General features: G+C 44.8%; 5 annotated features.

Moving 5' to 3' along the window:
* Positions 784-1,399: an enhancer, noted in NCBI's record as "OCT4-NANOG-H3K4me1 hESC enhancer chr16:17851785-17852400 (GRCh37/hg19 assembly coordinates)". NCBI's record gives its function as "activates a minimal SCP1, AML or CMV promoter by ChIP-STARR-seq in primed H9 embryonic stem cells {active_cell/tissue: H9 hESC(primed)}" and the evidence as "EXISTENCE:reporter gene assay evidence [ECO:0000049][PMID:30033119]".
* Positions 1,400-2,015: an enhancer, noted in NCBI's record as "OCT4-NANOG-H3K4me1 hESC enhancer chr16:17851169-17851784 (GRCh37/hg19 assembly coordinates)". NCBI's record gives its function as "activates a minimal SCP1, AML or CMV promoter by ChIP-STARR-seq in primed H9 embryonic stem cells {active_cell/tissue: H9 hESC(primed)}" and the evidence as "EXISTENCE:reporter gene assay evidence [ECO:0000049][PMID:30033119]".
* Positions 11,982-12,657: an enhancer, noted in NCBI's record as "H3K27ac hESC enhancer chr16:17840527-17841202 (GRCh37/hg19 assembly coordinates)". NCBI's record gives its function as "activates a minimal SCP1, AML or CMV promoter by ChIP-STARR-seq in naive H9 embryonic stem cells {active_cell/tissue: H9 hESC(naive)}" and the evidence as "EXISTENCE:reporter gene assay evidence [ECO:0000049][PMID:30033119]".
* Positions 13,334-14,009: an enhancer, noted in NCBI's record as "H3K27ac-H3K4me1 hESC enhancer chr16:17839175-17839850 (GRCh37/hg19 assembly coordinates)". NCBI's record gives its function as "activates a minimal SCP1, AML or CMV promoter by ChIP-STARR-seq in primed H9 embryonic stem cells {active_cell/tissue: H9 hESC(primed)}" and the evidence as "EXISTENCE:reporter gene assay evidence [ECO:0000049][PMID:30033119]".
* Positions 14,010-14,686: an enhancer, noted in NCBI's record as "H3K27ac-H3K4me1 hESC enhancer chr16:17838498-17839174 (GRCh37/hg19 assembly coordinates)". NCBI's record gives its function as "activates a minimal SCP1, AML or CMV promoter by ChIP-STARR-seq in primed H9 embryonic stem cells {active_cell/tissue: H9 hESC(primed)}" and the evidence as "EXISTENCE:reporter gene assay evidence [ECO:0000049][PMID:30033119]".

Genomic DNA, 21,652 nt, shown 5'->3' with positions numbered 1-21,652 from the left:
CCTCCTGGGTTCAAGCGATTCTCCTGCCTCAGCCTCCTGAGTAGCTGGGATTACAGGTGTGTGCCACCACATCCGGCTAATTTTCGTATTTTTAGTAGAGTTGGGGTTTCGCCATGTTGGCCAGGCTGGTCTTGAACTCCTGACCTCAGGTGATCCACCCACCTCGGCCTCCCAAAGTGCTGGGATTATAGGTGTGAGCCACCGCGCCCCAGCCCTGAGCTATCCTTACTCGGCAGGCTGTAGTTGCCTAGTCTCTAATGTGGGTTGAATGGTTGCAATTTCATAGAATGTTGGGAGAATTCACTGAGATGTCATATGTGAAGTGAGTACCCCCCAAATGGCCAGTCCCCTTCTCTTTTCCTTCTCCATGTGCATAGGGTGGGCAAGCTGATTGAGTACAGGGCCTATGTTGTATATATCTGTATTTTCCCAGGACCTGGAACATAGTAGATGCTTAGAAAATATTTAACGGAAGGATGAGAGAATAAGCCAATTAATGAGAGGCATTGGGTTGCATTTTCACTCTTGGGCTTGATAACTTAGGTCTTAGGATGATGAAAGTGATCTTGCGGATTGGGGCCAGACTATGCCAATGGCGGTCAATGGAATAGCAGCATGGGGAGATGGTGGGAAATGCAGAATCCCAGGCTCCTCCCCAGTCCTATTGAGTCAGAGTCTGCCTTTTAACAAGATCACAGTGATTTGTGTGTGCTTTAAAGCTGGAACATCTCTGGATTAGAGCGCTTGATTGAGATGGAGAGTGTGAGCTGGTTTCCCACATCAGCCAATTTGATTGGCTCTGCTGACTGCACATCAACTTCACCTTGCATTTGGTCTTTCAGGAAGCTCTGTGTGTTAACATGGATAAATCAGGGCAAACAAATTCCTTTTCACTGTGAGATGGGAGAAACAACCCTGTTCATGGCAGGGCAGTACTGCCATGTGTCTACCTTCACCTACTGTATAGTAACATCCTCTTAAGTGGAACATCGACATCCAGATCTAGTAATAACCACTTTTTATATGTAGCCCTTGCAGCAACCCATTTGGCAGCTGAGGCTCTGGAAGGTTTGGTCAGTTGCCTGAGACCACTCAGGTGGTAACTGAGAGCTGAGATTCAAGCTCAGAGGGGTCTGATTTTAAAGGGCCCTCTCTCAATAGCTCTGCTACCTACCCTCCCAGCCAGCCCTGCACTCAGCTGCCGGGTGCCTTTCCAACAGCACAGCTGGGAGAGATCTACAAAGCAGCGGATGCTTTTCCACTGGTGCATCAGCATTGCAGAAGGCAGACGCTCAACCCCTGCAGTGCCTAGTTGGAAGAGGCGCACCTCCTTCCTCTGACCTGGTACCCTTTTTTGCTTTATCTCCTGCTGTCCTCCTTTGCACATTCCATGCCTCAGCACTTTCCTGAGGAGCCTAGGCTGTCTCCTGCCTCTGCATTTGCTCAAACCACTCCTTCCACCTAAGGGGCCCTTTTCTCCACTTGCCCACCAGGCTAACAAATGCATGTAAGCATTTAAGAGTCTCCCTGAAGTCCTCAAGTAGAACTGAATTCTTTCTCCTCAGATCTCTCCATCAAAACAGGCTTCACACTCTAAAAAAAGATGATTTCATGGGTGCAGCACACCAACATGGCACATGTATGCATATGTAACAAACCTGCACGTTGTGCACATGTACCCTAAAACTTAAAGTATAATAATAATAAAATTTAAAAAAAAAAGATTATTTCTTTCTCTCTTCTCTACTGACATGCGAGCTTGAAGACCAAGACCCTGTGAGGTAGTATGCTATCAGCACAGTGTGGAAGCCAGACCCACCAGGGATCAAATCCCAAAGGCTGGCCAGGCGAGGTGGCTCATGCTTGTAATCCCAGCGCTTTGGGAGGGCGAGGCAGCGGGTCACGAGGTCAGGAGATCAAGACCATCCTGGCTAACACAGTGAAACCCCGTCTCTACTAAAAATACAAAAAATTAGCTAGGCGTGGTGGCACGCACCTGTAGTCCCAGCTGCTCGGGAGGCTGAGGCAGGAGAATTGCTTGAACCCAAGAGGTGGAGGTTGCAGTGAGCCAAGATTGCACCACCGTACTCCAGCCTAGGCAACAGAGCAAGACTCCATTTAAAAAAAAAAATCCCAAAGGTTGCATGATTTTGAGCAAGATAACACATAACTCTCTGTGCCTCAGTTTCCTCTTCTGCAAAATGGAGATAATGCATAGCTACCTCTCTGGAATTTTTTAAATGAGTATGGAATGAATGAACACATGTAAAGCATTTGGAATCATGCCTGATACATAGTAGGTTTTATCTAAGTGTTTGTTCCATAAAATGTTGTTTCTATCTTCACATCTCAGTCACCTACACAGCAAACATTCAGAAAGTAATTTTTCAAATGAATGAATAAATACATGAGTTCTTTGGGGGCTGCCTTTATTGGTTAACTTTTGAAACTTTAAGAATGGAAAAACGTTTGCAAAAATATTCTCTGGTTTCTCAATATTTCTAATCTCTTCCCACAAATCTTTTTCTTGTACAAGAACCTACCTTTTCATCCCTTCAATTTCTCTCCCTGGTTGTTGATTAATGATGGTATCAGTGTGTTCTAACCAGAATCTCTCACATTTTCCTAAGTCTGTATACAAACATGCAATCTGGGGAGATTCTCCCTTATTTGGGTAATGTCAGCCCTGGCCTACGCATCCAGGGTGGATGGAGGCGAGAACGGAGCCGCCAACTCCAGCGGCTCCTGAAATAATCGCCTGGCTCTGCTGGCGTGCACACAGGTATCTCGCTCCACTGAACAGCTGGCCTTTATTTCTGTCCATGTGCCTCTCTTTTCATTTTGAAGGGAAGACAACCTGTCAAACCAAACCCGGAGAGCCTGGCTGGCTGCAAGGATCTGAAAGGGCAGAGTTTTTATTTTTCTTTGCTTTCTCATGGTTTTCTGAGGAAACACAAAACTATCTTAGTGTTTGGAAAGAGGCAATATAGCATAGTGATTAAGTAGTTTGGAGGCAGACACACCTGGTTTGAAACCCAAATCTGTGACTTATTAGCTATGCAATGCTGGGTGAGAGACAGAAACTCTATGAGGCTCGGGTTTTGTTTTTTCTTAGTTTTTTGTTTCTTTTCCTAAACCATAAAATGGTTCTTATGATTAAAAAAAAAAAAAGTTAAGGCTGGGTTAGTGACTCATGCCTGTAATCTGGGCACTTTGGGAGGCCAAGGCCGAAAGATCATTTGAGCCCAGGAGTTTGAGACCATCCGGGGTGATATAGTTAGACCCTGATTCTATAAAACATTTTAAAAAAAATAGCCAGGCATGGTGGTGCATGCCTGTGGTCCCAACTACTTGAAAGGCTGAGGTGGGAGGACCACTTGAGCCTGGAAGGTCCAGTGAACCATGATTGTGCCACTGCACTCCAGCCCAGCCTGGGCCACAGAGTGAGACTCTGTCTCAAAAAAAGTATTTTAATTAAAAAAATCTCATAAACTAATTCATTCAAAATACTTAGCACTGTGCCTTACGCATAGTCAATCCTATTACAGGTATATATTACAGGTATATACATATACATGTGTGTATATATATGTATAGGTGTGTGTGTGTGTGTGTGTATATATATATATATATATATATATATATATCTCACATGTCCTATTTGATATCACTTCCTACAATCAATTCTCTTTTATTCAAACACCTTTTGCATAGAAAGTGCACAATATGTATTTGAACAGATGGATGGTAGATATATAAATTCATGAAAGAAATTTTTTTATGTGTGAGATATTTTTATTATATGTATATAATATATAATATATAAAATATATATATTACATATATAAAAGTATATATATTACATATATAAAAATATATATATTATATATAAATATATATATATCAGTCAGGATAGGCTAAGTTTTGCTGCAGTAACAAACAACCCATATTGCTGTGGCTTAGAGGAAGGTCTATCAGAAGTTACTGAAGGTTCTCCTAGCTCCAAGATCCAGGCCTATGGAATGTCTACTTTGGAGTGTTGCCAGCGTGGTAGAGGTAAAAAGTAGATGGAAAAAAAAATCACACATTGGCTGGTAACATTTCCATTTGTAAGTGATATGTTCTATTTCTGCTCATGCTTCACTGGACAAAACAAGTCACATGCTCATGTCTAACATCAAAAGAGTGAAGAAGTACAATTCTGTATGTGCCCTTAGGAGGATCCAACATCATTTGATAGAGTACTACCTTACTAACCTGTTATACTGTTGTAAACATGAGACTCAGACCTATTTCTCATTGTCATGACTAGATGGTGTATAGATAACCAACCTTATATTAAGTGTCCTATGTATAAGTGCAGGACACATAACACTGGGAAAAGAGTGATTAAACCATAATGCCCATTCATTGCATTTTCTAGGGCTGGGGGAATACGTAATAGCATTATAGTTATACAAAAAGTATCATGGCTACATTTCCCTATGCAACAGGGAGCCTGTTTATAGCTCAGATTTCAAAGAAGAATAACGAACCCTTCTCACCCAAACACAATAACCAGCCCTCCCTGAGTTCCACAGAAGAATATTAATTCTGCAGGAAAGACTCTAATGAGAAACAGTACAGAGGTGCGGCAGCAAAGTACTTGGGTGGCAGGGAGGAGAACCAAAGAGAGGAAGCAAGAGGGAAAGGGAAAGGGAGAAGGGGAGGAGAAGGGGTTGCGAGAGAGTGAGCTCAAATCTTGCAACAAAATGCATTGGAAGAAAGCAAGCATCTGCACTATTATGGGTAATTCAGAAGCAAACTTAGGGCTTTAGAACAGAAGCAAAACATAACCATTCCAACATATACTAAAACCATATGGGAGCCACCGAAGATCACGCAAACCAGACCAGGATAATTCCCTTAGCCACACTGAACGAATAATCCTTGTCATGCCCTTAGCAAAGAACTGAAGGCTGAGATCAAGTTTTGGGGTGCCTGCTCTATCCATATTTCCTTCTTTGGAAGTTCCCTACCCATCCCTGATCCTAGAGTGCTATTTCTACTGTAGAATCCATCCTTGTGGCCACAGCTGAATGGATGGAGTGAGTCATGTGATCCAAGATGAATTACTGCATAGTCTGGACTGAATCAGTCAGATTTGTTCTTCACAAATCTAATGTAAAAGACATAAAGAAAATATGTAGGCTCTTAATTTGCAACTTAGGTAGAGTTCATTCATTCATTCATTTATGAACTAATGTTTGTTGAATGCCCACTTGCAGAAACAGCACCCTCAGATCCTGACTTCACAGTTTTCATTCTCTTGTGGCTGTCCTTAATTTTATATCCCCGGTTGTTTACAAGATTGACAGGAGTGTACTTCAACTAATTGAATGGTTCTTATTCCACAGCAGGGACTCTATTATCCTTAATTATTTTGGCATTTTAAGAAAATTTAAAATTAAAAAATTTCTCCAGGTATTACTCTATAAAGACATCAACTTGAGAAGCTTTCTTCTGATTATTTCAGGGCAGGGATCCAGAGGAGAGAAAAATCAGGACATCCCACTGCAACTGCCAACCTCCTTATCGTATTCTGTCTTCATGGGGCTTGTTTATGCCTGGGAGTTCTATATTCCACATACAGGAAAGAGTTCTGGGCTCGCATCTCCCTTCCCTGTCTATTGCAAAGCACATGCAGACACAACTGCTGGCAGATGCTTTGGGTATGTGAGAAAAGCACAGAGACAGACGCTAAATGGCACTTGTGCAAAACTCACTAGAGGGAACACCCCACTACAATTGTCATCAGCTTCCACCCCGGATTTTCGGAGGGAGTCCCACCTTAAAAATAGCCTGTCTCTCTGTCCCCACAGGGACTTATTTTTGGCAGATCGCATGTCTCAATTTTTGGTTGAGAAAACACTACCACTTTACATCTACCGTACCCTCAAATGTACTCTGGAGAGGGTCCCGTTCCAGCTGATCATTTTCACGGCGGTGTGAGAACTTCCATCTTCTGAAGCTGCATGAGAATAAGTGACTGAAGGAAAGAATAAGGGGAGGAGGGGAGAGCCTAGGCTAGGGCACTACTCCCATTTTCATGATCTACAAATTCCAAGAAATAGTCACCCTGCAGTGACTTCTCATAGGATGGTTCTCTAAAGACCCTGAAATTGCCACCTGATTAAAACCTCAGTTTCCAGCCAGGGCTATCAGTGAAAAGAGCACATGTAATGGTTGGAATCATTAGGTAATGCTGTAGGATGTTTCTTTTGAGTTCCTCTGGGTTTTGGCACGTGATAGATACTCATGAAAGGGCTGATGAGTTGACTGGAGGTCAAAGCATAAAACTGAACGTCCGTCAATACAGCAAACACCACACACAGACTCCATCCTTGCTTTCCTTTGCCTCTCTCTGCTTGAGCATGGCCATCCTTGATTCTTGCCTCTTCCTACCCTCGGCTCTTAACTAAGTTTGTTTTTGGACCTCTGTGAACTGCTGGTCAATGAATCCCATTTTGTAGTTGCTGCTCTTTGGGGTCCAGGTTTTAATACGAAGAAGTCAAAGGTGATTGTGGATGGAAAGGGAATTCTCATTCTATATATAGAGAACCCGCAATGCAGACGGTCTATGGCTTCCGATGCTGTGTTTAAGATGAGCATTTATTTTTTAATTCTTCACTTATTTATTTTTGCATTTATGCAAAATCCAAGGGATAAGCATTTATGACCAAGGCATATAGAAATATATGTGGGGGCATGTATAGCACCCCACATAGGGCTATACGATCTTCTCCCAGGAGCAGCCCTCCTGGAAATTTCAGCCCTTCCTCCACCCACATCTCCTCACTGAAAGGCAGGTGGGGAAAATATGATTAAGGTGAATTTTCAACTTCATTTCTGTTGTCTCATGGAGATCTCCTGCGCTCTCCTATTGGATCTTCAGCCTTGAAGGACTCAGATGGTGGTGGACCTTATAACACATGCATCCAGAGCTTATTAAAATAATTATTTTAATTTAAAAAATGAAACATCTTTCCAAACAATAGGAATAAGGATTCCCTCCCAGGCATCTTTATTAGAGTATTGCCCAAACCTTGATTGCTGTCATTCCATCATCATTCATTTTTGACATATTGCATTTCATAGCTGTTAGGAATTAGTCATTTTTTAAAAATCATCTCATTTGATTTTTTAAAAAATACGCTTATTTTAAAAGGAAGCTTTGTTGTGCATCTCTATTTTACTTGAATAAAAATTTACTTTCATTATTAGGAAGGAAATTTTGATTCAAGACTCCACATGTCAAATCAGTTCCCATGTCAGTGTGACTTGCCATTAATAGATGGAAAGAGAGTAAAAATAAACATAATGATATTTTCACTTATGTTCATCCAAGTTGAATAAGATCTTTAAAAAGAATTTTCTGTCTCTGTCTCAGGATGCCTGAGGGTCTTTTCCACCCTCTCCCCCGTCTTCATAAGTTGTAAGGCCACATATATATTTAACAAACATCTGTATAGCACTCACTGGGTGCCAAGTACTGTTTGAATGGCTTCACAAAGAGGAACATAGTTAATCCTTTTAACAATGTAACAAAGTGGAATATATTATTGTTACTACCCCCATTCTACAGATGAGAAAATTGACATACAGAACTGTGAGGTGATTTACATGAGACCACACAGCTAGTAGGTGGCTGAATTAGACATTTTTTTTTTTTTTTTTTGAGACAAAGTCTCACTCTGTTGCCCAGGCTGGAATGCAGTGGTGCAATCTCAGCTCACTGCAACCTCTCCCTCCCAGGTTCAAGTGATTCTCCTGCCTCAGCCTCCTGAGTAGCTGGGACTACAGGCATGTGCCACCACGCCTGGCTAATTTTTGTATTTTTAGTAGAGATGGGGTTTCACCATATTGGCCAGGATGGTTCTGAACTCCTGACCTCAGGTGATCCGCGCGCCTTGGCCTCCCAGGCTCAAGCAATTATCATGCCTCAGCCTCCTGAGTAACTGGGACTACAGGCATGTGCCACTATACCTGGCTATTTTTTTTTTTTTAATAGAGTCTCACTGTGCTGCCCAGGCTGGTTTTGAACTCCTGGGCTCAATCGATTCTGCTGCCTCAGCCTCCCAAAGTGCTGGGATTACAGCCGTGAGCCACCATGCCCTACTTGGATTAAGATTTAAACCCATGTTATCTGGCAGCAGAATCTGTGCTTATCACATCTGAAGCCCAGATTTTGGTTTAAAAATGCCACCCCCTGCTGAAAGGAGCCTCATTCTTTGGAGGAATGATTTACTCCGGGTCTGTGGTAGAGATGTATGAAGTGAGCTTGGGTCATCCAATTGTTTCAGAAAGCAAAGATGTGTCAAAAATGATGGAAATGTGTCAAAAGAGCCCCAAATCCAGGTTTGTGGGGCTCGCAATAGCCAAATTTGGGAGAATTTTAGTTTGAGAAATGACAGAAGTTGTCTGTTATATGTTGAATGGCTAAAATTTCTAAGCCTATAGGGACTTTTAGAAAGAAGAGGGAAAGAAAACGAAAGAACTTATTTAAGAATTCTTTTTTTTTTTTTTTTGAGACGGAGTCTCACTCTGTCACCCAGGCTGGAGTGCAGTGGCTCGATATCGGCTCACTGCAACCTCCACCTCCCTGGTTCAAGCAATTCCCCTGCCTCAGCCTCCCGAGTAGCTGGGATTACAGATGCATGCCACCATGCCCGGCTAATTTTTTTTTTGTATGTTTAGTAGAGACGGGGTTTCACCATGTTGGCCAGACTGGTCACGAACTCCTGACCTCGTGATCTGCCCTCCTCGGCTTCCCAAAGTGCTGGGATTACAGGTGTGAGCCACCGTGCCCAGCCAAGAATTCTTATACCAGCTAATACAGAAGGAGAAACAGAAGGAAAGACAGAAAAAGTATCATTTTTTAATTTTTAGTTTTTGTGTGTACATAGTAGTGTATATATTTATGGGGTACCTAATGTATTTTGATACAGGCATACAATGTGTAATAATCACATCAGGGTAAATGGGGTATCCATCACCTCAAGCATTTGTCATTTCTCTATGTTACAAACATTCCAATTAGACCCTTTTAGTTATTTTTAAAAGTTTTAATGTATAATAAATTACTGTAATCACCCGGTTGTGCCATCAAATACTAAGTCTTACTCATTTTATTTAACTATATTTTTATACCTATTAATCATCCCCACCCTCTGCCACTACCCTTCCCAGCCTGTGGTAACTATTCTTCTCCTCTGTCTTCATGAGTTCAATTGTTTTAATGTTTAGCACCCAGAAATGGGTGGAAACATGCAAAGTTTGTCTTTCTGTGCCTAGTGTATTTCACTTAACATAATGTCCTCCAGTTCCATCCATGTTGTTGCAAATGACAGGATCTCATTCTTTTTTATGGCTGCGTAGTACTCCATTGTAAATATGTAGCACATTTTCTTCAACAATTCATCTGTTGATGAACACTTAGGTTGCTTCCAAATCTTGTCTATTGTGAACAGCTCCAACCAACATGGGAGTGGGGCTATCTCTTTGATATGCTGATTTCCTTTCTTGTGAATATATACACCTATCAGTGGTGAAAAGTATCATTTTTAAACTTGCAGTTTAATAAGTATTTCAGGCAGGTGTTAGCAATAGATGCTATAACCATTTGGAGAAAGATTGGTGGAGAAAAGAGGTGTTGCCTAGTTCCAACCTCAATCATGGCTATCTTTGTAAAGTAAAGGAGGGTAAAGTGTGTCTTCACAATAGGTGACCAGCTGTCACCGCCTTAACCAAGTGACACACTTTTCTTCATTGATAGCGTGACACCCTTATGTTATTTACCACTGAATGTAGTAATGTAATGCCATATGAAGTGCAGAGTGCCCTCTAAAAAGGTTCCTTGCTGAAAAGGTAAAGCATAAATCTAATTCACGAAATTAACTAGAATCGAACCTCGATCATATCGAGGCTCAAATTCCAGTTCACAGAAAATATGTGAGACAGAGAAAAAAGTGAAACGACAACATGGGAAAGCAATCTGGCAAATCCAGAATGTGGGACATTCTGCAAGACAACTGGACTCTACATAAAATCAGTGTAATAAAAATGTAGAGGGGGTTGTGGCGGGTCCAGATTAAAAGATGCTACAACGACATAGTAAATATATAGTGCATGGATCTTGATCGAAGTGTCACAAGAATGCATTTTTGAAAATGTGTTAAATGCATTCTTGGGACAAATGAGGAAATTTGAATTTGGATATTAGATGATATAGAATTTTCATTTTCTTAGGTGTGATAATTGGTGTTGTGGTTGTAGAAGGGAGAATGCCTTTTTCCTAGAAGACAGAAGTATTTAGGGGTAATGAATCACGATGACTGCAACTTCACATAGTGCAGAAAGAATATACACACATACATCAAACAGGTATGATAGAGCATTGCTAACGAAATATTAGCCATTGAATCTAGGTGCTATTTATTGCATTACTTTTACAACTTTTCTGAATATTTGAACCTTTTCATTATAGCCAGTTGGAGAAAAGTAAAACAGAACTTGTGTTTTTTTATGGCCCTGTCCTCCTGCCTGGAATTAGAGAAGAGGCTGTGATCCTGGGAGTCCCTACCCTAAAGTCACCTCCTTTACCCCCTTGTGGTCCCCAGGAGGCCATGCGTCAGAGACACATTGGACCACCGTGCTCCAACAGATGAGGAAGTGTGTTTGAGCTGCAGAGTTGAGATACTGTTCTCTCCTCCCAGCCCTTTCTGCTGGAGTGGGGAGGCCAGCATGCTCCCCTTTGTTATGGAAACACCCTGGTTTGCTGCATTGCGCTCACCCACCCCTGCAGACTTCAGTGCCTTCTGTAGACAATGGCTGCAGGGTTCTTATGCCCACCCCACCCTGTAGCTCCAGCCTGTCTACACAGAAGGTTAGAAAGGGATTCAGAATCATCTGGATCCTGAAGCCTCCTTTTTTTCTGAACTGTCCTCCTTTCTTTTCCTTTCCTCTGAAGCACAAAGACCAGCTGTGACATTCATTTGCTGATAATATGCTGTAAATCTGCCTGGCCTGAGACCTGCTGCAATGCCAGCCGCCGGGTAAGAGGCGTGCACCGCAGGGCTCTTGGAATTGGAAGTTAAGGCCTGGTGTCTGCAGCCCGGATGGCTATCATGAATCTTTCTATCAGAACACTTTCTCTGAGATTAGGCTGCGTGCCACCAAGCATATGCCTGCCCCTAACCTGCTCTGTCGGAATCGGGCTGAGCATCTTTCCTGAGCCTCTGATGTCTGGCATTTGGAAATGTACTGCTGGCTCTGCCGAGGACGATGGGTCACAGGAGAGCTGACCCGGTCACAGAGGGCAACCAGCAGCCAACACGGACCTTCCATCCCCAGAGAGGCGCTTCGCCGTTTCTCCTAGTTGCCTCCTGAACTCTGAGCTTTCTTCCCAGTTGCTAAAGGGCGCGCCCACCCGTGCCTGTTGTTCAGTAGCCAGGAAGTCCTGTATGAGATCTAACCTCAATTGGTTGTGCTGTAGCTTGACTCAATTTCCTTGCTTTTCTTTTGACTTACTTTGCGCTTGAAGAATTAAAGTGTACTGCTTTAGACCTTTCCTTAGAGCAACTAACTCATCTCTATTTGCCTAGGACTTCCCTGGTTTTACCACTGAAAATCATTCATCTGTGAAAACCTCTCAGCCAGCCTTCCTTCCTTCCATCCTTCCTTCCTTCCTTCCTTTTTCCTTCCTTCCTTCCCTCCCTCCCTTTCCCCCTCCTTCCTTTCTTTCCTTTTTTTCTTTCCTCCCTCCGTCCCTGCCTCCCTCCCTTTCCCTCTCCTTCCTCCCTCACTTCCATCCTCCCTCCCTTCCTCCCTCCCTCCCTCCTTTCATCCTTCCTGCCTCCCACCATCCGTCCTTCCTTTCCTTTCTTCCTTTCCTCCCCCCTCCCTCCCCTCCTTCCTTCCTCTCTTCCTTCCTTCCTTTGTTGTGCCACATCCCAATCATAATCATTTCCAGCTGTTCTATTTTTCTCCTCATCCTTCCCACCCAGGAGATGGTTGTCAGTGTCAGCAATGGTGAGTATTTTGTTTACTCAGGCGGGCAGGGTGCTCCATGCTTTTCATGCCTCGTCTCAGTCAGTCCTCACCACATCCTCTGAGGGAGGTTCCTCACCTCCATTTACAGGAGAGGAAACCAAGGCAGACACAGGTCATGGACCTTACCCAAGGCCATGCAGCTGGAGAGTGGAGGTGTTGAGTTTGCAGCCCAGATTAGAGGGGTTTGACCCCAGAACTATCTCACCCAACCAACTTCAGACACGGATCCCAATTGTCTACGATTTCGAAGCGCTAGACCAGGGTCCATGGGCAAGACCCAAGGACCGGAAGTTAGGGGACCTGCGTTCCAGTCATTCTCCATCTCCATGTGGACGCAGAACCAAAACCTCAACACAACTCTCCATCTTTGACATTCCCTCCAGAGCTCTTGGTGCCAGCCCTGCCTCCACTCCCCCCAACTTCTTCCCACTCCCAACACCACCCAGAGCCAGTACCTTTCCCAGAAGCCCCAGGCTGCTTCCTATGGCTGAACAAGCTGCTTCCTCCAACTGGAACACCTCTTTCTCTGTGCTGATGTCCACGAAAGCTCAAGCCCTACAGGCCAGGGTAAAACAGGCCAACTGCCCAGCCTCTTACCAGCTTGCACAGGCTTCTACCCTTACTAGCTCTGGAGGGCCACAGTCAAACAGTCATGGTGAAACCTAGCCCCTTGCCCAAGTTTCTTACTCTCTCATGCCTCAGTGTTCTCATCTGTAAAATGGGGACGATGAAGATGATAATCATGGCCTAGTCCATAAGGAAGCTTGCAGGAAGAGCTAAACAAGAGGAGATAAAAAGCAAGGTAATAACAGTTGCAAACACTAATATAGGGCTCACTCTGTGCCAGGCACTCTCCCATGCACGTTGCCTTTGTTGGCTCCTTGAATCCACACTAGAATCCTTGAAAGCGTTATCATTCCCAGTTTACAGAAGGGGGAATTGGGGGCACAGAGAATAAGTGACTGGCCCGAGATCTCCTAGCTATGGAGGAGTGGCTTGGGGATCGGAACCCACATGTGCTGGCTTGAGAGGCCAGGCTCTTAATCACTGTTTAGATGGCTGCTAATGCTTGGCAGCAGATGAATGGGGGATTGTGATCAGGCATTGTTTCAAGGGAAGGTTACTAGGGAAGGCCTCTCAGAGGAGGTGTTGCCTGGTTTGAGACTGGATGATGATGAAAAGGCAGGTAGGGGATCATCTAGCTCAGCAGACCTTCGTCTTAGCTGCTCATTACTATCACCTGAGGACAGGTTTGAACGCTGCAATGTCTGAACTTCAGCCCAGAGCAATGAAATTTCAACCTCTGTGGGTGAGCCCAGGCCTCAGCATCTTTTTTTGTTTGTTTTTGAGAGAGTCTCGCTCTGTCACCCAGGCTGGGGTGCAGTGGCATGATCTCAGCTCACTGCACCCTCTGCCCTCCGGGTTCAAGCAATTCCCTGCCTCAGCCTCCCCAGTAGATGGGATTACAGGCGCCGGCCACCACACTCTGCTAATTTTTGTATTTTTAGTAAAGATGGGGTTTCACCATCTTGGTCAGGCTGGTCTGGAACTCCTGACCTTGTGATCCACCTGCCTCGGCCTCCCAAAGCGCTGGGATTACAGGCATGAGCCACTGTGCCCGGCCCCCTCAGCCATTTTTTTAGCTTCCTAGGAGAGTCCCACATACAACCAAGCTTGAGAACAGCTGATGTGGGGGGCTGGGAAGTGGGGAGGGAGGCATTGCAAGGAGCAGGGACACCCCACCTTTCCCTGGGAGGAGCAATCCCCCCTTCCTGCCTGTGGCTTCCTATTGTTCCCATAGCGCTGCCCTGATGAGCAAACAGAGAAGGAGAGAGGAATTAAAGCTCCATTTAAGGGAAAGGTTAAGAGCAGCTTTCGCTTTCCTAAATTCCAGGGAGGACAGGAGGGGGCTGAGTCGATGCGGCCACCCGTCAGGCCTCCAGATGACAAATGACATTCTGAACCAGTATCTTCTCAGATACTTCTAAGCTGACCCTTGGAGATAGCTAATAAAAGACCAACCTGCCCTCCAAGATTAACGACTCCCGAGTTAGAGGGAAGGAGCGCGGGCGAGGGGGGCTCTGGAATCCTTGGCTGCCCCCAAGTTCCCAAGCCCTCTGCCTGATGGTGAGGAGGAGGTGGAGGAACAAAGAGGGCTCGGTGGGAAACCTCACGGGGATACACCATGCAAGCCCCCAGCCTAGGTGGAGCTGCTTCTGCCCCGCTGCTGCGGGCCCACCCAGCCCCTCCCTCCCAGCCCCGCCCCTGCCAACCAGTCTCCCTTTGGCACTCAGCCACATCTATGCCCCTCCATTTCTTGCTTTTCTTTTTTGAAATGTATTTCCGTCTTGCTGTGGGTCTCTGCGGTCCCCCTGTGCCACTCCATCCATGCCTTCTCCAGCTTTTCCTCCCTGCCTCCTCCTAACTCACTCTTCTCTCATCTTTTTATTTCCCTGTCTATGTTTTGCTTTGTCTCTCTCAGCCTGTCTTCCCATCTCTGTCCGTGTGTGTGCGTGCGTGCGTGTGTGTGACTTATGTTTCTTGCTCTGTCTTGCCCTGTCCCCCATCCCACTTATTCTTTTTGCTTGTCTCTCTGTCTCTGACTCTCTGCATCTCTCTCTCTGTATCAGTCTCTCTATCTCTGCATCTCGGTGTCTCTTTCCATTTCTGTCTCTGTGTCTCTGTCTCTTTCTCTGTATCTCTCTGTCTCTGTCTTCATGTTCCTGCATTTCTATCTCTGTCTTCTGTCTCTGTGTTTCCATCTCTCCGTGTTTATCTCTGTGTCTTTCTGTCTCTTTGTCTCTGTCTTCATGTCTCTGTGTTCCTGTGTCTCTGTCTGTGTCTCTATCTCTCTGTGTCTCTGTCTTCCTGCCTCTGTATTTCTGTGTCTGTCTCCATGTCTCTGCCTCTGTCTCTCTGTATCTCTATTTTCATGTGTCTATGTTCCCGTGTCTCTCTCCCTCTGTTTCTGTCTCTGTGTCTCTGTCTCTCTGTGTCTCTAGCTTCCTGTCTCTATATCTCCATGTCTGTGTCTCTGTCTCTGTGTCTCCATCTCTATATCTTTGTGTCTCTGTCCCTTTATCTCAGTCTGTGTTTCTGTGTCTCCGTCTATCTATGTCTCTGTCTCCATGTCTCAGTCTCTATGTCTCCATGTCCATATCTCTGTCTCTGTGTCTTCTCTGTGTCTCTGTCTCTGTGTCTTGGTCTCTGTGTCTGTGTCCCTGGCTTCCTGTGTGTCTCTGCCCGCCTCACCCTTGCGGTTCCCTGCCCCTGGCTCTGTGCATGGCCTCCTGTCTGCTCCTTTGCTTTCTGTTGTCCCTGCTTCCATCTGTTTCCTTCTTGGTCCCTGTCTCTCTGTCCTCAGTCTTTCCTGAGTTTGCAATGAACTCACATCTTTGCTCTCCTCTCCCTCCCTCCCTGTCTGCTTCTCCTCATCCTTGCCCTCTTAGGAGAGGGGCCTCCTCTCACCTTGGCGGTAATCAGGGAGGCCCGGCTGGTGGGGGCGGGGAAGGGCAGCTGGCTGGTCCTGCTCGCCCAACAATGCCTCAAGTCCACCTTCTGCCTGTTGGGGGGCCCTGAGTCTGAGCTCATCCTGCTGGTTGAGCCCTGCAGGATCCCCATTGCCTCCAACACAGAAGACCCCTCATTCCTTACCTCCACTTTGCCCCGTCATTGTTAGCAAGAGTTCGTGTCCACAACTGAGAAATCCCAAGTCAATTGTGAAGCCACAGACATACTTATGAATTAATAACTACAGCTAAGATTTACTACTTGCACATGGCCTGCTGTGTATTCTGTGCATGCAACTCATTTCCACCAAAATCCTGCAACACTGATATCATCATCCCCATTTTTCAGGTGAGGATGAGAGAGAGGGTCAGAGAGGTTAAGAAACCTGCCCAAGGTCACACAGCTAGCAAATGATAGAGGCAGAATTCAAGCCCAATCTAGGTGGGCGTGAGGATCATGCCCTTTCCACTGAGTCTTTCAGCACTGTGCTATCCAATGAGATAGCTGCTGGCCACCCGAGGCTATTTAAATTAATTAAAATGAAATAAAATTAAAAATTGAATCTCTTTGTCACACTGGCCACATTTCAAGTACTCAGGAGTCACATGTGGTTGGAGATGCCCTACTGAATATTACAGACATAGAACATTTCCATGAATGCAGAAAGTTCTACTGGACAGCAATGTTTTCGATAAACATGGAGGAGTCTTTTGTGGGAGAACAAAAGAAAACACAATGATATCAAAATAGCCCTGGGTCGCTCCCTGGTCCCAGCCCTGGCCATGTGTGAAGTTTCCTAGAAGCCTCTGGACTGAAACAGCCATCTCTGTGTCTGAGTACCTGCCAGTGGTATCACCTATGCCATGCAAACCTGCCTTTACGACCCCGTTTGTGTCGGAACGACTGCAGAGGAACACGATGCTTTCATTAGGGAGAGAAGAGGGGCAGATGTGTACATTCTTCTAGAAGGCAGAAAAAACACAATCTTATGCCAGAAATTGAATTTTCTTATTTCAGCTGGTGTCCAGGGCTTTGAACCCTTCCGCAACATGAACAGCTTATCTTGTTCCACTCGATCAAAAACATTTCATAGTGCCGGCTCCTTCCACAAGGTCACCTTGAAATCGTTTCCCTCCTCGAAGCATCCTGAATCTTCTTTAGCCTAATAGAAACATTCTTGAAATCGGAGTAAACTGGACTTGTTCAACTCTGCTCCCCCACTCCAAGAAAATTGTATCTCGCCTCTCTGTAACGAGTCACGAAAAAGAGGGAAATATTTACAATTTCTTGCAAGCTCACCAGGCTGGGCAATCGGAATACCCCAGCATCTGCTGGCCCCACCTGCTCCCATCAGTAGTCTTGGCCTCGTGCAAATGTCTCTGCAGGCAGCTGGGGTCTCAGTGGTTCTTCCAGGGTTTCTCAAGAATGAGTTCTCTCCTTTAGCTTTCAGGCATCCCTGAGCTACTCTTCTAGGCACTAGTCATTCCTGCCATAGAGCTCTCTTCTGCTGGTGGCTCTGCCCCCAGCCTGGGCTCCAAAGAATCCCTCTAGCTTTGATGGTTGCCATTGTAAGCCCAAGCTACTCTATGGTGTAGGACAAAACAGAGAATTGTTCTCTCCCCTTCTTGCCTTATTTTGATACCCAATTAGAAATGATCCAGGGCAATGCTGCTTGGCCCTAATGACTTATGGCATTTACTGGAGTCCTTCTTATGAGTTTTATTTTTGTCTAACATTAGAGGAGTATGTGTAGTGGTTAAGAATATTAAAAACAGGTCTGGGCACAGTGGCTCACGCCTGTAATCCCAGCACTTTGGGAGGCTGAGGCGGATGGATCATCTCATGTCAGGAGTTGGAGACCAGCCCGAACAACATGGAGAAACCCAGTCTCTACTAAAAATACAAAATTAGCTGGGCATGATGGGGGGGTGCCTGTAATCCCAGCTACTCAGGAGGCTGAGGCAGGAGAATCGCTTGAACCCGGGAGGCGGAGGTTGCAGTGAGCCGAAATCACGCCATTGCGCTCCAGCCTGGGCAGCAAAAGGGAAAAACTCCATCTCAAAAAAAAAAAAAAAAAAAAAAAAGAATATTAAAAACAGGCTAGGCACTGTGGCTCGCATCTGTAATCCAATCACTTTGGGAGGCCGAGGTGGGAGGATCACTTGAGCCCAGGAGTTGGAGACCAGCCTAGGCAACATAGTGAGACCCTGTCTCTACTAAAAATAAAAAAATTAGTTGGGCATGGTGGCGCAAGCCTGTAATCCCAGCTACTCAGAAGGCTGAGGCAGGAGGATCCCTTGAGCTCGAGAGGTTGAAGCTACAGTGAGCTGAAAAAAAAAGAATATTAAAAACAAATTATTAATGACATCTGCTAAAGATGTCTTTAGACTTTCAAGAAAGACTATTCAAGGGAAGCTACTACAACGGGGTTTTGAAGTAGGGGAGAAATACTGAGTCCCACTCCAAATAAAATCAGAAAACAGGCAATTTACAGGCAAGGAGTGGGATGTGGGGTGGAGGTTGGTGGGTGGAAGCTCACTAAGAAATAGGGTAATTCTTTACTAAGCTGACCTAACAGGGTTTCTTTTGAAGGTGGACCAGGGTGATAAGATACTGAGGGTGGGAGATTTTCAATAAACTGACTCAACAGGATTCTTGCTAAAAGTGGGCCTGGAATAAGGACAAAGACCAAGGTCAGGACCTGTTCGGACAGAGGTCTCTGAGAAGCCTGACTACAGTCAGATCAAGTTGAGAATCTTTGTCAAGAGCACATGCAATGCAGCCAGGTGACCTCGGTTTGAATTCTAGCTCTGTCACTAGCTGGTTGGGTGACCTGAGGTTAAGTTACCCAAACCCTCTGTGCTTCAGTTTCTTCCTCTTTAAATCAGGGATAATAATATTGACCTTATAAGTATGAAGACTGAATTAGTTGGTTTTGCTTTTGTTAATATCATCTGTTTGTGTTCTTTGGATACAAAAATGCCCCCAGGAGCCAAATGCAGTGGCTCATGTCCATAATCCCAGCACTTTGGGAGGCCAAGGCAGGAGGATCGCCTGAGCCTGGGAGTTCAAGCCCAGCCTGGGCAGCATAATGAGACCCTATCTCTACTAAAAATAAAAAATTTAGCTGGGTGCTGTGGCTCACACCTGTGGTCTTGGCTACTCAGGAGGCTGAGGTGGGAGGATTGCTTAAGGAGAGCAAGGATGCAGTGAGCCATGATCTTACCACTGCACTCCAGCCTGGGCAAAAAAAGTGAGACCCTGACTCTAAAAATTAAAATTAGAAATAAAAAAAAAAAAAGGCTCCTGGCCTGGTTTAAACCATCCCCATCACTCCATGCTCAAAACCTCTCCTCCTCCCCCAGAGGGCTTTGTCCCTGGATATTTGCATTATCTGACCTTTTTTGCCCCATCTTCTAGCAGGCTTTTCTAGACCATTCAAGCCCCCAGTACACTTCCTTTCTGGCTGCCATCTATCCTGTTTGGCTGAAGCCTTCCCATTCACCCCGACCATCTGCAATCCGCGTGTACTTTGCCTTTCTTCCAGATTTTCCAGCCTCCATGCAAATCCTTACTCTGAGATCCTGGAACTCATCTTCTGCCCCACCCTACACCACTTCTTGCTGGGCTGTCTACAGGGACACATTCCTGTTGTTTCAGCCCAGCCTCTTCCTTGGGACCCAGAATAAGCATGGATCCACCGTGGACACACCGAGGCTCAGAAACAGCTCTCCTGCTCCCAGCCTGACCCCAGCAGGATGGAATGACCAGACCCCCTCCTTCCTGGCCTCCATCAGTGGATAAAGATGCCACAGGCATGGACACAGGAGCCCCTCGATTCCCAAGTGTACTCTGATAGTACAAAGTGCTGACAATTTCAAGGAGGGTTTTCTTTTTGTTGTTGTTGTTTTTTTTTTGTTTTTTTTGTTTTTTTTTGTTTTTTTTTAACAGTAAACTCTAAATCCCTTTCCAGGCTGCAGGGACTCATGACTTTTTATTTAGTATGTGCTCTCCCTCTCCTTTGTTTCATTGGCTTCAGACTTATTATCTCACATTTGTCTGCGTTACATTACCTTTTTCTCTGACCGTCTGAGTCACCCACAATAACCCAGGCCAGAACCATCCCAATCTATTTCTGGGTGTGTGCCTGTGTGTATAGGTCTATTGTTCCTATCAGAGCAGTTTCAGGGATGGGGTGGGGTGAAGACAGTGCCCCAAGTCTCAGGCCAGGTTGCACTTATGGAGGGAGGAGACCTGTTATTGCAGGAACAATATTTCTGCCTCCAGTTTCCTGATGTGTAAAATGGGAATGATAGTTACCTCATAGAGTTATTTTGAGCCAAATCAGTATTCAGAACCCCGCCCTGGCATGTAACAAATACTATATCAATACAGGCTATCATCACTGTTGTTTTTTTCTTAAATATTTTTTATTATACTTTAAGTTCTAGGGTACATGTGCACAACATGCAGGTTTGTTACATATGTATACATGTGCCATGTTGGTGTGCTGCACCCATTAACTCGTCATTTACATTCGGTGTATCTCCTAATGCTATCCCTCCCCCATCCCCCCACCCCACGACAGGCCCCAGTGTGTGATGCTCCCCTTCCTGTGTCCAAGTGTTCTCATTGTTCAATTCCCACCTGTGAGAGACAACATGCGGTGTTTGGTTTTTGTCCTTGCGATAGTTTGCTGAGAATGATGGTTTCCAGCTTCATCCATGTCCCTACTAAGGACATGAACTCATCCTTTTTTATGGCTGCATAGTATTCCATGGTGTGTATATATGTGTCACATTTTCTTAATCCAGTCTATCATTGACAGACATTTGGGTTGGTTCCAAGTCTTTGCTATCGTGAATAGTGCCACAACAAACATATGTGTGCATGTGTCTTTATAGCAGCATGATTTGTAATCCTTTGGGTATATACCCAGTAATGGGATGGCTGGGTCAAAAGGTATTTCTAGTTCTAGATCCCTGAGGAATCGCCACACTGTCTTCCACAATGGTTGAACTAGTTTACAGTCCCACCAACTGTGTAAAAGTGTTCCTATTTCTCCACATCCTCTCCAGCACCTGTTGTTTCCTGACATTTTACTGATTGCCATTCTAACTGGTGTGAGATGGTATCTCATTGTGGTTTTGATTTGCATTTCTCTGATGGCCAGTGAAGATGAGCATTTTTTCATGTGTCTGTTGGCACATAAATGTCTTCTTTTGAGAAGTGTCTGTTCATGTCCTTCACCCACTTTTTGATGGGGTTGTTTGTTTTTGTCTTGTAAATGTGTTTGAGTTCGTTGTAGATTCTGGATATTAGCCCTTTGTCAGATGAGTAGATTGCAAAAATTTTCTCCCATTCTGTAGGTTGCCTGTTCACTCTGATGGTAGTTTCTTTTGCTGTGCAGAAGCTCTTCAGTTTAATTAGATCCCATTTGTCAATTTTGCCTTTTGTTGCCATTGCTTTTGGTGTTTTAGACATGAAGTCCTTGCCCATGCCTGTGTCCTGAATGGTAATGCCTAGGTTTTCTTCTAGGGTTTTTATGGTTTTAGGTCTAACATTTAAGTCTTTAATCCATCTCAAATTAATTTTTGTATAAGGTGTAAGGAAGGGATCCAGTTTCAGCTTTCTACATATGGCTAGCCAGTTTTCCCAGGACCATTTATTAAATAGGGAATCCTTTCCCCATTTCTTGTTTTTGTCAGGTTTGTCAAAGAGCAGATGGTTGTAGATGTGTGGTATTGTTTCTGAGGGCTCCATTCTGTTCCATTTGTCTATATTTCTGTTTTGGTACCAGTACCATGCTGTTTTGGTTACTGTAGCCTTGTAGTATAATTTGAAGTCAGTAGTGTGATGCCTCCAGCTTTGTTCTTTTGGCTTAGGATTGACTTGGCAATGCAGGCTCTTTTTTGGTTCCATATGAACTTTAAAGTAGTTTTTTCCAATTCTGTGAAGAAAGTCATTGGTAGCTTGATGGGGATGGCACTGAATCTATAAATTACCTTGGGCAGTATGGCCATTTTCACATTATTGATTCTTCCTATCCATG

Source organism: Homo sapiens, chromosome 16 (assembly GCF_000001405.40).
Source record: "Homo sapiens chromosome 16, GRCh38.p14 Primary Assembly".
NCBI lineage: Eukaryota > Metazoa > Chordata > Mammalia > Primates > Hominidae > Homo > Homo sapiens.
Note: the sequence above shows the minus strand (reverse complement) of the source record. Positions and strands in the feature narration are given on the sequence as shown.